The sequence below is a fragment of the Homo sapiens genome, chromosome 8, assembly GCF_000001405.40.
Source record: "Homo sapiens chromosome 8, GRCh38.p14 Primary Assembly".
Classification (NCBI taxonomy): domain Eukaryota; kingdom Metazoa; phylum Chordata; class Mammalia; order Primates; family Hominidae; genus Homo; species Homo sapiens.
The window spans coordinates 66,681,684-66,697,705 of record NC_000008.11 but is presented as its reverse complement, the minus strand read 5'-3'; the positions used below and the strand labels follow the sequence as shown (position 1 = coordinate 66,697,705).

Sequence of the window (16,022 nt, the reverse complement as noted above, 5' to 3'; positions counted from 1 at the left end):
CTGCAAAGCACTGTGTTAAGACATAAGGTACAAGGCACAAAGATGCACTGTGTTTGCAGGGGATTTTATTTTATTTTATTTTTATTTATTTATTTAGTTTTTGAGACAGAGTTTCGCTCTTGTTGCCCAGACTGAGTGCAATGGCGCGATCTCAGCTCACCACGACCTCTGCCTCCCAGGTTCAAGCAATTCTCCCACCTCAGCCTCCCGAGTAGCTGGGATTGCAGGCATGCGCCACCATGTCCAGCTAATTTTGTATTTTTATTAAAGACAGGGTTTCTCCATATTGGTCAGGCTGGTCTTGAGCTCCCGACTTCGGGTGATCCGCCTGCCCTGGCCTCCCAAAGTGCTGGGATGACAGGCGTGAGCCACCGCGCCCGGCCTTGCAGGGGATTTTAAATCCTTGGTATAAAACAATGAAAAATGAAAAAAGCACCTTAATTTTTTCCTTGTACTATGTGGATTGCTTCCACTGTTGAATGTATTCCTCAGTATATTACATTTCTGTTGCACCATTTCTGCTTTGTGCTGTTTCTTTATGCCTGGTACCATACTGTTTGAAAGTTTTACAGGCGTTTTATTTGGCTGCAACCACCTCTCAGATTTCATCTCATTACTTGCTATTTCAACACCTGATTGGGATAGATTGCTACTATCTATCTGCTGAGATAAATCATTTCCTTGCTACTTATTGCACTGAAAAACAATCATCTGAAAAACAGGTAGAGGAAAATACTGCAGACAACTAAGATCAGGGAAATGAAAATTCTCTATGCCTAAAATGGAATCCTCTACCTCTCCCTAAATAGCAATGAAAAAATGGTGATTTGAGGTATTCAAGGGAAGAGACTGGACCACATGACTTCCTGGGGTCATGTTTACTTTTAAACTCTGCAAATAAGCAAACTCGAAACTCACAGTCCTAGGAAGAACTTACACCCATTTGGTTTTTTTCTTTTTCTTCCTTTTTTTTTTTTTTTTTTTTTTTTTTTGAGATGGAGTTTTCGCTCTTGTTGCCCAGGCTGGAGTGCAATGGCACGATCTCAGCTCGCAGCAACCTCCGCCTCCTGGGTTCAAGCGATTCTCCTGCTTCAGCCTCCCGAGTAGCTGGGATTGCAGGTGTGCACCACTACGCCCGGCTAATGTTGTATTTTTAGTAGAGACGGGGTTTCTACATGTTGGTCAGGCTGGTCTCAAACTCCCGACCTCAGGTGATCCACCCGCCTCGGCCTCCCAAAGTGCTGGGATTACAGGCGTGAGCCACCGTGCCCGGCCAGCGTTTGGTTTCTTAAAAGCAAGCAGTACTAACAGTTTAGAAATGTAGGGCATGGGATAAAAAGTAAAAAACAGTTACCAAAAGTCTGTGATCATATAAAATTCAATTCAAAAAAATATAAGCTGCACATTAAGGCAATTTTGTTATTCAGAAAGACAATATGTTTATTTAAATTTTAACTGATTCACAGTCCTTGAACTATTCTTCCGACAAAAACAGAATCCAATTTTCGTTATAATAATCTTTTTTCTTGGAAAATAGAAAAATACAATTTGAACCAATTTCAGCATAGCATAGTGATGAAGAATATGGCTTTAAACAGCCCTGGGTTCAAATCTCATTCTGCTGCTTACCAGCCCTCCCCCAGATACATTTCCTAACTTTCTTTTTTTTTTTTTTTTTTTTTTTGAGATGGAGTCTCATTTTGTTGCCCAGGCTGGAGTGCAGTGGCGCGATCTCCGCTCACTGCAACGTCTGCCTGCCGGGTTCAAGCCACTCTCGTGCCTCCCGCTCCCGAGTAGCCTGGATTACAGACGCATGCCAGCAAACCTGGTTAATTTTTGTATTTTTAGTATAGACAGGGTTTTGCCATGTTAGCCAGGCTGGTCTTGAACTCCTGACCTCAGGTGATTTGGCCTCCCAAGGTGTTGGGATTACAGGGGTGAGCCGCCGCGCCTGGCCTCATTTCCTAACGTTCTTAGCCTTAGTTTTCTCATTTGTAAACGTAGCTCTTACTTCATAGGGTTGTGAGGTTTAAGTGAGATAAAACCATAGTAAGAAAATAATTCATGGTAAAATTTAAAATTTTATACCAACTACTGTATAAGATATATTATACGTAGTTCCCCTTATCTGCGATTTCACTTTCCACAGTTTCAGTTACCCATGGTCAGCTGTGGTCCAAAAATATTAAATGGAACATTTCAGAAATAAACCCTTCATAAGTTTTAAATTGCACACCATTCTGAGTAGTGTGATGAAATCTTGTGCCATCCCACTCTGTCCTGCCCTGAATGTGAATCATGCCTTTGTCCAGTGTATTCATGCTATATACACTGCCTGCCCTATACAATGTGATTGTATGGGAGAATACATAGTATATGTAGGGGGTTTGGTACTATCTGCAGCTTCAGGCATCCACTAGGGGTCTTGGGATGTATCTCCTGCAGATAAGGGGAACTGTTATGTAAATGACATATATAAAATATATACCCATTATTATAGGCAGATTGATGGCTTCCTGAAGATGTCCATGTTCTCATTCCCAGAACTTGTGAATGCGTTACATTACATAGCAAAGAATAAAGGTTGCAGAATTGAGTTTTCTAATCAGCTAACCTTAAGATAGAATATCCTTGGTGGGTTGAATGTAATCACAAGGTCCTTAAAAGTGGAAGAGGGGTTCGTGCCTGTAGTCCCAGCTGCTAGGAAGATCGCCTGAGCTCAGGAGTTTGAAGCTGCAACGAGATATGATTGTGATACTGCACTCCAGCCTGGGCAACACAGCGAAATCCTGTCTCTTTTTTTTTTTTTTTTTCTGAGACGGACTCTCACTCTGTCGCCAGGCTGGAGTGCAGTGGCGTGATCTTGGCTCACTGCAACCTCCGCCTCCCAGGTTCAAGCAATTCTCCTGCCTCAGCCTCCCGAGTAGCTGGGACTACAGGTGTGCGCCACCATGCCCAGCTAAGTTTTGTATTTTTAGTAGAGACGGGGTTTCACTATGTTGGCCAGGATGTTCTCCATCTCTTGACCTTGTGATCTGCCCTCCTCGGCCTCCCAAAGTGCTGGGATTACAGGCGTGAACCACTGCGCCTGGCCGATCCTGTCTCTTAAAACAAACAAACAAACAAAAAAACACCAAAACACAAAGACGTGCATGGTGGCTCATGCTTGCAATACCAGCACTTTGGGAGGCTGAGGCAGACGGATCACCAGAGGTCAGGAGTTCAAGACCAGCCTGACTAACATGGTGAAACCCCGTCTCTACTAAAAATACAAAATTAGCTGGGAGTGGTGGTGCATCCCTGTAATCTCAGCTACTAGGGAGGCTGAGGCAGGACAATTGCTTGAACCTGGGAGGCAGAAGTTGCAGTGAGCTGAGATCAGGCCATTGCACTCCAGCCTGGGCAACAAGAGTGAAATTCTGTCTCAAAAAAAAAAAAAATAGTGGGCCAGGTGCCGTGGCTTATGCCTGTAATCCCAGCACTTTGGGAGGCCAAGGCTGACGGAACGCTTGAGCTCAGGTGTCCCAGACCAGCCTGGGCAACATGGCAAAACCCCATCTCTAAAAAAATTACAAAAAAATTAGCTGGGCTTTGTGACATCCGTGCCTGTAGTCCCAGCTACTCAGGGGGCTGAGGTGAGAGGATGACCTGAGCCCGAGGAGGTTGAGGCTGCAGCAAGCCACGATCAGGTCACTGCACTCCAGCCTGGGCAAAGTGGAAGAGGGAGGCAATAATAGAAGAGTCAGAGAAAGAGATGTGACTATGAAAGAATAGTCAGCGAGATGCAACATTGCTAGGTTTGAACGTGGACAACAGGGCCACAGTCAAGGAATGCAGGTGGCTTCTAGAAGCTGGAAAAAGCAAAGAAATGGATTCATTCCTAGAGCCTCCAAAAGACGAGCACAGTCCTGCCAAGTCCAGTGAAACCCATGTCAGACTTCTAACCTACAGAACTGTATAGTAATAAATTTCTGTTGTTTTAAGCCTCTGAGTTTGTGGTAATTTATTATGGCAGCAAATAGAAAACAAATTAGGGCCAGGCATGGTGGCTCATGCCTGTAATCCTAGCACTTTGATAGGCCGAGGCGGGCACATCACCTGAGGTCAGGAGTTCGTGACCAGCCTCACCAACATGGAGAAACTCCATCTCTACTAAAAATACAAAATTAGCCGGGCGTGGTGGCACATGCCTGTAATACCAGCCACTCAGGAGGCTGAGGCAGTAGAATTGCTTGAACCTGGGAGGCGGAGGTTGCTGTGAGCTGAGATCACGCCATGCACTCCAGCCTGGGCAACAAGAACGAAACTCTGTCTCAAAAAACAAAAATATACCCCAAAAAATCTTATACACGTTTGAAGTAGAAAGCTCTGATTTGAGAAACAGAAATAATTGGAAGGAAGAAACACTGAAGGATGAGTCCAGGTGGGAGACTGTGAGTTGTATACAGGGCGTCATCTTCACCATCGTGGTTTTTCTCCGGCAAAGCTCTGCAGCCCTGATATAGCCATGGAGGAGGCAGACAGCTGGATTGAACCTGGCTTACGAAGGTTTAAGAAAAGGACAATGGAGTAAAGGAAGAGAGCCCAAGTGGGGACCGTGCCATTTACACTTCCTAGGAAAGGAGGAGGTAACAGACAGAAAGGAAAGGCCAAGGGCATGGGGGACTTGCACAGGTAAAGAGTGAAGTTAACAAAAACTTATTATACACAATCACACCATTACCAATATTTTACATTTTAAAGTACGCTGCAAGTTTCAAAGATAGACTATTTTTAAAGACTTTTTAAAAGCAGTTTTAGCTTTACAGTAAAACTGAGAAGGTACAGAAATTCCCCACTTACTCCTTGCCCCCACACATGCACAGCCTCCCCCATTATCAACATCTGCACCCAAGTGGTACATTTGTTGCAACTGATGAACCTACATTGAAACATCTTTATCACCCAAAGTCCATAGTTTACAGTATGGTTCTCGCTTGGTGTTGTACATTCTATGGGTTTTAACAAGTGTATAATGATGTATCTGTTATTATAGTATCATACAGAATAGTTTCACTTTGTGTGTGTGTATATGTGAGACAGCGTCTCCCTCTGTCTCTCAAGTGCTGTGGCTCAATCACAGCTCACTGCAGCCTTGATCTCCTGGGCTCAAGCAATCCTCCCACCTCAGCCTCCCAAGTAGCTGGGACTACAGGTGCATGCTGCCATGCCCGGCTAATTTTTATATTTTTTGTAGAGAGGAGGTTTCGCCCTGTTTCCCTGGGCTGGTCTCCAACTTCTCAGCTCAAGCAATCCACCTGCCTCAGCTACTAAAGTGTTGGGATTACAGATGTGAGCCACCATGTCTGGCTTAGTTTTGCTATCTTAAAAATCCTGTATCTTTCACCTATTCATCCCTCCCTACCACCAACCTCTGTTCTTTTTATTGTCTCCATAGTTTTGCCTTTTTCATAATGTCATGTAGTTAGAATCATACAGTATGTAGCCTTTTCAGATTGGTCTCTTTCACTTAGCAACATCCATTTAAGTTGTCCCCCTGCATCTTATCATGGCTTGCTAGTTCATTTCTTTTTAGCGCCAAAAATATTTCATTGTATGGATGTACCACAGTTTATTTATCTATTCACCTAGGGTAGGACATCTTGGTTGCTGCCAATTTGGCTATTATAAATAAAGAAACTGCTATAAACTTTCATGGGTAGGTTTTTTGCAGACAAACCGTTTTTGAATACATAGTCTGAATATAGACACAAATTTTCTCGATCAAATCCTAACAAGCCAAGTATAGCACACTGAATCAAAGTGTGTATCAATATGACCAGAATAATAAAGCAATAAAAACTGTAATATGTTAGGAATAAAAAGCTCTTTAAATTGATTATCTCAACAACTGTTTTGAGGAATTAAACTGTTTGATCATTTCCCTTATCTTCTCTTTGCCCCATCCATTCCTAGCCCTTAACACAGTCAGCATGATACAGTGGGTCAATAGACTCTGTAGCAATGTTGTTTGTATTTCTTTGTTGTTGTTGTTGTTGAGATGGAGTCTCGCTCTGTTGCCCAGGCTGGAGTGCAGTGGCATGATCTCGGCTCACTGCAACCTCCGCCTCCCAGGTTCAAGCAATTCTCGTGCTTCAGCCTCCTGAGTAGCTGGGATTACAGGCACATGCCACCATGCCCGGCTAATTTTTTTTTTTTTTTTTTTTTTGAGACGGAGTCTCGCTCTATGGCCCAGCCTGGAGTGCAGTGGCGCGATCTCAGCTCACTGCAACCTCCGCCTCCCGGGTTCAAGCGATTCTCCTGCCTCAGCCTCCCGAGTAGCTGGGACTACAGGCGTGTGCCACCACACCCGCTAATTTTTTTTGTATTTTTAGTAGAGACCGGGTTTCACCGTGTTAGCCAGGATGGTCTCGATCTCATGACCTCATGATCCGCCTGCCTCGACTTCCCAAAGTGCTGGGATTACAGGTGTGAGCCACCACACCCGGCCTAATTTTTGTATTTTTACTAGAGATGGGGTTTCACCATGTTGGCCAGGCTGGTCTCGAACTCCTCACCTCAGGTGATCTGCCCACCTCGGCCTCCCAAAGTGCTGGGATTACAGGCATAAGCCATTGTGCCCACTGTTTGTATTTGTTTCTGTTTGAATAATGGGGCTCTGACACTTAAAAACTGCCTGATTTGGGCAAGTTACTTAACATCTTTGTGCATCTTCTTCCCCATCTATAAAACAGGGAGTTTTAATAGTACTTACTTCATGGATAGAATGAGTTTATATCTATAAACTCTTAGAATAATACCTGGAACACATGTTTGTTAAATAAAATGTATAATATGTATGTGGATCACGTGTGTGAATGCTGGTTCTTGAAGGACTATATGCATTCTGTTAAAGTCTTGCTGAGTCAAACTGTCAGGTCTGTGATTTGATTTTATGCTACTTACAGGTCAAAAAGCTAGCCGTTCCTGGTTTGTGAATGCTGGAGGAAGACAGGAGACATCTACGCCAGAGAAAAAGAAGTTTATTATTCACAGTACAGGAAAAAAAAAAAAGCCATGCCCATCAGAATGTTTGTATCAGTTTCTCTTGCTCCCAAGTCCCCAGTTCCACAGGAGCGACATGCATGGGCCTAGAGAGTGGGTTTGCATTGCAGCTGACGAACAACAATAATCTTGGGGAACCCACTGCTATTATAACAAGCAGTGAGATTGCTTTTTGTCCCAGAGGGAGATGTTACCTCATTCCTCAAGATTGCTCACTGCAAACACAACCATAGGAAATGGCTTGGATCAAGCATAGTGTGGCTGAAAGCCTGTAAGGTGGCCCTTAATGGTTCTTGCCTCCTGTAATTCCTCCAGTTGACTGTGGGCTAAGTTTATTGACTCACTTCTAATTAACTGAATATGACACAAGAGATGAGAAGTTGCTTTAGAGATGAGGTTATAAAGACTGTGGCTTCTGTGTTGGGCATCATCTCATCAGCTGCCATGTTGCAAGCTGCCTTATGGATGGACCTGCATGTCTAGCCGACAGTCAGTGAGGACCTGTGGCCCACCAACAGCCACATGAGTGATTATCTCAAGCCTTGAGGTGACAGCAGCTCCAGCCCACACCCTGACTGTATCTTGTGAGAGACCCTGAGCCAGAGGCACCCAGCTAAACTACATCCAGATTCCTGACCCACAGAAACTGTCAGAAAATAAATGTTGTTTTAAGCCCCTATGTTTTAGGGTAATTTGTTATGCAGTAATAGATAATAAAAGGAGTCAGGGCTTGCATTCTTGACATTCTAAGGCCAGACAAGCAGGGACACAGAGAACCATAGATAACCATCTCCCAGCAACAGGGTAAAACTAGAACCTTAGAGCTCAGCAATGCCGTCTTCCTAGAAGAGGGCCGAAAAGCTTAGGGCCCACCATCTAGGGAGGAGGCAGATACAGAGCCTGGAAACTGGAATTTAGAAGAAAGCTGGAACTGGTCTTACCAATCTTGGAGCTGGCTTTTGAAGAATTTAGCTTGCTTGAGGACATTATGCAGTTTAGGAAAAGGTGGCTTCTGTTTTGTGCAGGTAGTAGGAAGCAAGGTAAAGAGGAATCCTTTTACAGTGTCAAGTGCTGAAATGTCTACCCTGCATTTAGTGAACCGAATTATCTAGTTGTATATTAGTTCCTGTACTCTTTGCATTCTGTTTGCCTGGAGCCCTTTGTAAAGTTTTTATTTTTATATTTTTGTTTTGAGACAGAGTCTCACTCTGTTGCCCAGGCTGGAGTGCAGTGGCGTGACCTCAGCTCACTGCAACCTCCGCCCACTGGGCTCAAGCAATTCTCCTGCCTCAGCCTCCGGAGTAGCTGGGATTACAGGCATGCGCTACCACGCCCGGCTAATTTTTGTATTTTTAGTAGAGATGGGGTTTCACCATGTTGGCCAGGCTGGTCTCAAACTTCTGACCTCAAGTGATCCACCTGCCTCGGCCTCACAAAGTGCTGGGATTACAGGCATGAGCCACCCAGCCCGGCCTGTTAAAGTTTTTAAAAGTTTTGCTTGTTTCATCTGTACTTCAGGAAATGAGTCAAATGCTTGAGCCTCAATAATAAAGGGGAAACAGTGCCCCCTGGAGGTCATAGTGGCAATGCCCAGGGACCCCAAGAGATGGGAAGCCAGTGTAGGCATGGGAGATGGCAGGCAGCAGAGTTCTTACAAATGCTGAGAAAATATTTCATAAAACTGAAAATCTTTTTTATTTAAAGCCTTTAATAAAATGGTGTAGGAATTTTAATAAATTAGTGTGGAAGTTTTCTTTCTTAACACAATAAAGAGCTTTTTGTTTTCCCCACAGAGACTTGACTTTACACTTGAGGACCAGACAGCATGATAATGAAGAACATGGGCTTTGGAATTTGACAGGTCTTCCTTTTGTTAATAGCATGTCTTTGGGCAAGTTGGTAAATCTGTCTGCGACTACTTCTTTATCTGTAAAATGAGGATATCTTATTGGGTCACAGAGGATTAAATGAGATATAGCACCTGAAAGCACTCAGTGTTTGAGAGCTGTTATTATTATTTACTATTACTACTACTATAACACTAACAAGATAAGGATGTTCCATATAACAACAAATACTTAATATACTGTAGTATGTGCTGGCAGTAGAATTTTCAGATAAGAAGTTGTTACAGAAGATGTAAGTTAGAATAATTAGAGGAAAGGAGGAATTGGTGAGCAAGAAGACCCAAGGCTATTTAAGAAGATATGAGGAAAAACAGAATCCTTAAAAACTTTCTATCCAATATGTAAACTGCATTCTTACAAATACATAATTAACACCATTAGTCTATTGGACAAGTGGCCAAAGGAGATGAAAAAGCAGTTTAAAAAGTATGTTATCAGACAGCCTACTGATTAGTTAAGGAATGCAGCCAGGCGCAGTAGCTCATGCCTGTAATCCCAGCACTGTAGGAGGCCAAGGTGGTGGATCACCTGAGGTCAGGAGTTCGAGACCAGCATGACCAACATGGTGAAACCCTGTCTCTACTACAAATACAAAAATTAGCCGGTGTGGTGGTGGGCACCTGTAGTCCAAGCTACTCGGGAGGTTGAGGCAGGAGAATCACTTGAACCCAGGAGGCGGAGGTTGCAGTGAGCCAAGATTGCAACATGGCACTTAAGCCTGGGCAACAAGAGGGAAACTCTTTGTTTAAAAAAAAAAAGAAAGAAAAATAATGCAATATAAAGTCTTATGTCTCACGTAACTTTTAAAGTTTCAAAATGCAATGAAAAATGAAAATAGGCCAGGAGCAGTGGCTCATGCCTGTAATCCCAGCACTTTGGGAGGCCGAGGTGGGCGGATCACCTGAGGTTAGGAGTTCAAGCCCAGCCTGACCAACATGGAGGAACTCTATCACTACTAAAAATACAAAATTAGCTGGGGTGGTGGCACATGCCTGTAACCCCCGGAGGCTGAGGCAGGAGAATCGCTTGAACCCGGGAGGCGGAGGTTGCAGTGAGCCGAGATCGCGCCATTGCACTCCAGCCTAGGCAATGAGCGAAACTCCGTCTCAAAAACAAAAAAAAAAAAAGAAAAAAAAAGAAAATAATTGGTATCAGGGAAGACACAGGAAGAGGCATTGGCCTTGGAACATGACACATTTGACTGCCTCTTACCAGTTGTGAGAGCCAGTGTAAGTTACCTCCCCTCTCTGTGCCTCAGTTTCCTTATCTGTATACATGAGAAAGTTTAAAAATATGTTTAAAATCCCATTTATAATAATCACAACTATAAAATACCCTGAAACAAAATTAATAAGAAATGTTAAAACCCATTTAAAAAGGGAAGTATCAGCCGGGTGCTGTGGCTCACACCTGTAATCCCAACACTTTGGGAGGCCAAGGCAGGTGGATCACCTGAGGTTGGGAGTTCGAGACCACACTGACCAACATGGAGAAACCACGTCTCTACTAAAAATACAAAAATTAGCTAGGTGTGGTGGCACATGCCTGTAATCCCAGCTGCTTGGGAGGCTAAGGCAGGAGAATTGCTTGAACCCAGGAGGCAGAGGTTGCAGTGAGCCAGAGATCACGCCATTGCACTCCAGCCTGGGCAACAAGAGCGAAACTCCGTCTCAAAAAAATAAATAAATAAAAATAAAAAGGGAAGTATCTTCACATCAACCTATAAATTATATGCCATTTTTATTAAAATCCAAATGGCAATTTTTTAAAGTTGATTCTCTAGTTTATTTGGAAGACAAATGTTTGAAAATAGCCGGCCAGGCACAGTGGCTCACGCTGTAATACCAGCACTTTGGGAGGCCGAGGCAGGCGGATCACGAGGTCAGGAGATCGAGACCATCCTGGCTAACACGGTGAAACCCCATCTCTACTAAAAATACAAAAAATTAGCCAGGTGTGGTGGTGGGCCCCTGTAGTCCCAGCCACTCAGGAGGCTGAGGCAGGAGAATGGTGTGAACTCGGGAGGTGGAGCTTGCAGTGAGCCGAGATCACGCCACTGCACTCCAGCCTGGGCGACAGAGTGAGGCTCCATCTCAAAAAAAAAAAAGAAAGAAAGAAAGATAGAAAGAAAGAAAATAGCCAAGAAAGTTTGAAAAACAACTGTGGCAAAATAAGACTTGGCTTATGAGATATTAAAAAGAACTATGAGACTACGTTGTAAGCAGGGCAGAATGGTACTGACAAGGAAAAGACAAGTGGAGCCGTGGGGTGAAACAGAATCCACAAAATAACTCAAGTTCATACATTTAAGATTTCATACATGTTCAAAGTAGCACTTTAGATCAGTGGGGAAAGACTGGCTTATTTAATAAACAGCACCAGGATAACTGGCTATGATGTTTTCTGGCTCTGAGTGCCAATTCAATTAAATGAAACACTTACCTAGTTCTTACTACATTAAAAGTTCTATGCTAAGCACAGGAAGTTAGAAAGATAAACAATGTGATCCCTACTCAACATACGTATATTTTAGTGGAAGGTATATATTTGTATACAAGCAAATATAATACAAGGCAGGATATGATGAATCCAAAGAGCTATGGGAACACTAATTATGGGAGTGACTAATTATCAGTGAAGATGTGGGGAGGTCATCCACTCAATTCATCCCAGACACTACGTCAAGGTTCTGGATGTATTGATGGCCAGTGTCTGTCCAGCCTGGTCCTCTAAACACTTATCTGTTATAGGGATCAAGGAGGAGTGGCTGAAGCCACAGTAACTGGCTGTTTGACAATTCAAGGATCCTGGCTCCTAAACCCTCTTTCATCTCAAAGTAACTAATGTGTCTCTGTAAAATGCCTCCTAGTTTAAGGCCTGATCCAATAAACACACCCAGAATTACCCAAGCTAAATTTTTAATCTACTGTCTCAAACACAAAGAAATGATAAATGCTTTAGGTGATAGATACTCCATTTACTGTGATGTGATTATTACACATTGGATACTATGGCTCAGAAAAGTTAAATGATTTCTCTAGTGTCATAGAGCTGGCAAGTGGTAGAATCAGTATTAAGCCCAGAATGTATGAGCACAAATTCAATGGGAGACAAAATCTCCATTTTCTGTAAACATACACTGGCTTTGAATCATCAAATCAGTAAATAATTCAAAACGATTAACATTAGATGGATATTTTTAAATCATTTTATTTTGTAATAATATTCATACACTACAACCCATTGAAGAAACAAAGCCAAAAAACGCAGTGATGTAATTCTAGTTCCCGCATGTAGCAAGACTCTCTCTACTCCATTAGCAACAGTGGCCAATTACAGCCAATCAAAGTCGTCCTTCTTGGTGAAGACAGACACTGGGTGGAAGAATACATGTGTTATTTGGTCATGGCTCCTTCTATATATCCTCAAAGTGCAAACAAACTTGGTTTTTACTGATGCTACCTTCATTTCAGCTATTTTTAGTTTTCTAATTTCTGAAGTGAAGACTGAGGTTAGCAAACTGAAGCATCATCTTAATGGTTTTTAAAAATGTCTGAGAAACTGTTTGCTATTTTTAGATTCTGTTAACTTAGTAACAGTTGACAAATCACAGTAAGCAGGTCAAGCACCTGAGAAGACTGGATGATAAATTAAAACACTAAGCATGGCCGGGTGTGGTGGCTCATGCCTGTAATCCCAGCACTTTGGGAGGCCTAGATGGGTGGATTGCCTGAGATAAGGAGTTCGAGACCAGGCTGGCCAACATGGTGAAACCCCGTCTCTACTAAAAATACAAAAATTAGCTGGACATGGTGGTGTGTGCCTGTAATCCCAGCTACTTGGGAGGCTGGGGCAGGAGAATTGCTTGAACCCAGGAGGCAGAGGTTGCAGTGAGCTGTGATCGCACCATTGCACTCTAGCCTGGGTGACAAGAGCAAAGCTATATCTCCAAACAAACAAACAAAAAACACTAAGCACAAGCCTTCTTATTAATGTGCAATAAGCATTCTTATTAAACAACGTGCAATATGTGTGCCAAGTAGGAAGTTTTTATGGTTCACTGGACTGGACTGTATGCCAGATACTTCAAAGAACATTCCAATACCAAAGTGATAATCTGACTTGCTGAAGTTTAAAGTTAAGCCTCAAACACCAGGGTTAGTCCTTTTTTTTAATTTAATAATTTTTGTTATTTATAATAGTATTGAGACTTTTAAAGGACAATTAATTCAGTTTCTATGAGTCAATGAGATACATTTTCTAAAGAGAGTGAAAGTAAAAAGGAGGGGAAAAAAGCAGTGTCCTGGATTAAAAGAGAACTAAAAGATCTAACAACCAAATGCATTGTGTGGACCTTAGTCAGATCCTGATTCAAACGAACCAACTGTAAAAAGATATTTTTGACATAATCAGGGATATCTGGTTATGGAATTCATATTAGATATCACCAATAAATTATTAGTTTCATGAACATGGCTTTGTAGTATGTAAGAAAATGTTCATCTTAGAGATGGATCCTTGATTAATGAAGGAACAAAATTACATATTATTTAGGATTTGCTTTAAAATATTACAGCAAAGAAAAAAAAGCCAGGTGATGTGAATATTGGCAAACAAGAATTATTGAATCAAATTCATGGATGTTTATTGTGCTATTCTCTTATGTAAGTTTGACTTTTTCAAAATGAAAAGTTTTTAACAAAATACTCAAAACATTCAAATAAGGGGAGGGAGTTATGGTTGTAACACTAGACCTTCCAGACTTATGAGGTGGCTATGGTGGTCACCATGAACTGTGTAAACAATTCTTTTTTTTTTTTTTTTTTGAGACGGAGTCTCACTTTGTCGCCCAGGCTAGAGTGCAGTGGTGTGATCTCAGCTCACTGCAACCTCTGCCTCCCAGGTTCAAGTGATTCTCCTGCCTCAGCTTCCTGAGTAGCTGGGACTACAGGTGAGTGTCACCACACAAGTTAATTTTTGCATTTTTAGTAGAGATGGGGTTTCACCATGTTGGCCAGGCTGGTCTTGAACTCCTGACCTCAAGTGATCCACCCACCTCAACCTCCCAAAATTCTGGGATTACAGGCGTGAGCCACCGCACCCGGCTCCTGCTTCCACTCTTGACCCTCTCTAGTCATTCTCTACCTACTAGCTACAGCTGCATTTAAGACCATAAATCCAGTCATCTCACTCTTTTCTTTTCTCTTTTTTTTTTTTTTTTTTTTTTTTGAGATGGAGTTTCACTCTTATTGCCCAGGCTGGAGTGCAATGGCACGATCTTGGCTCACTGCAACCTCTGCCTCCTGGGTTCAGGTGATCCTCCTGCCTCAGCCTCCCAAGTAGCTGGGATTACAGGCATGCACTACCATGCTTGGCTAGTTTTGTATTTTTTAGTAGAGACAGGGTTTCACCATGTTGGTCAAGCCGGTTTTGAACTCCCGACCTCAAGTGATCCACCCACCTCAGCCTCCCAAAGTGCTGGGATTACAGGTGTGAGCCACTGCACCTGGCCTCACTCTTTTCCTAAAACCTTTCAATGGATTCCCATCCCTAGAACACAATCCAAAACTCTCCTGTGGCCCTCTGGGAGCTAGCCCCTGTCTTTCGGACACCACCTGGTTGCATGTGCTCCAGCCTCGTGGCTTCTTTCAGAGCTTAGTGGCCAAGGTCTGCCCTGGTCCATGACCTTCCGAGAGCCAGATGTTCAATATTCAATATTCAATATTTATCTAATCAGTTAAAAAACATTTCTCTTCAAGCTTCTGGTCCCATAAGTATCAGGTGAATATTGAAATGTAGTTTTGAAATGTTAAAAACAGGGAATTTGGTGGCTACTATCCAAAAAATTGGACTAAACTTCTGAGGAATTAGTGTTGAGAGAACAGAAGAGGCATTTTGAGAGAAGAAATATCAGAGGGCAGCAAGTGATGATTGGACTGCAGTGCAAAAGCTTACAAAAGGGGAGATGGCAACGCCACTGTGATTCTCAGTCTGTTTGAATTCATTAATCTCTATGTCCCTGTGATGCCCTTTCTGCTCAGTCAGTGCCAAGACTTCTGTCTTAATTCTCTGTTGTGCAGTGAAGCACAGCCCTCACTTACAGGAAGGATCAGGGGACAGGATCCAGACGACTGGCCTGGACCTCTCTCACTCCCACGCCAGGGAGACAAAGTTGGTAGGAGACATGCAAAAATGTATATATCACAATCACAAGGAGGTTTTAATGAACTTATCTAAAGATTGAGAGCTCAAACATACAAAACATGAACAAGACAGTTAACAAATTTGAGCTATTGGATTTATATAAAACTGTACGTTCATATTATTATTTTAAAAATTTGACACTGCATGGTGCTCATGATGAAACAGGCACTGGTTGTAAGTGCTTTACACTTATTAACTCATTTAAAGAACTGAAGAGTGCACATTCTTTCTTATACAGAACATTTATAAAAGTGGTCATGTAATGGGTCAAAAAGCAAGTCTCAATAGATACCAAAAATCAGTATCTATAGATCTTATCATATGTAGTAAAAGGACAAAAACACATTAGAAAGCAGGTTCCTTGACAAAGGAAAAAACAGACAGGGAGAGCAGGAGATGGGTGAAGAGGTGAAGTTTTAGCTCTACCTAAAATGCTTTAGAAGGAAGGAAGGAGGGAGAGAGAGGAGGGGAGGGGAGAGGAGGGGAGGGGAGGGGAGGGGAGGGGAGGGGAGGGGAAGGGAGAGGAGAGGAGAGGAGAGGAGAGGAGAGGAGAGGAGAGGGAGGAAGGGAAGAAAAGAGAAGAAAAATCCAAATTGAAGGATATTCTGCAAAAGTAACTGGCCTGGGCCAGGTGCGGTGGCTCACGCCTGTAATCCCAGCACTTAGGGAGGCCCAGGTGGGCTGATTGTGTGAGCTCAGGAGGTCAAGACCACCCCTGGGCAACACAGTGAAACCCTGTCTCTACTAAAATACAAAAAATTAGCCAGGTGTGGTGTCAGGCACCTGTAGTCCCAGCTACTTGGGAGGCTGAGGCAGGAGAATTGCTTGAACTGGGGAGGCGGTGGTTGCAGGGAGCCAAGATCGCAC

The 16,022-nt window shown here is 42.9% G+C and overlaps 1 protein-coding gene across 1 annotated transcript in view; it reads right to left on the bottom strand.

Moving 5' to 3' along the window:
• Positions 1-16,022, bottom strand: part of C8orf44-SGK3 (C8orf44-SGK3 readthrough) — a 194,427-nt gene that overhangs the window by 164,317 nt on the left and 14,088 nt on the right. Inside the window, exon 3 of the mRNA NM_001204173.2 lies at positions 6,946-7,001. The gene's annotated coding sequence lies outside the window, so the exon portion shown is untranslated. The remainder of the gene's footprint in view (positions 1-6,945; positions 7,002-16,022) is intronic.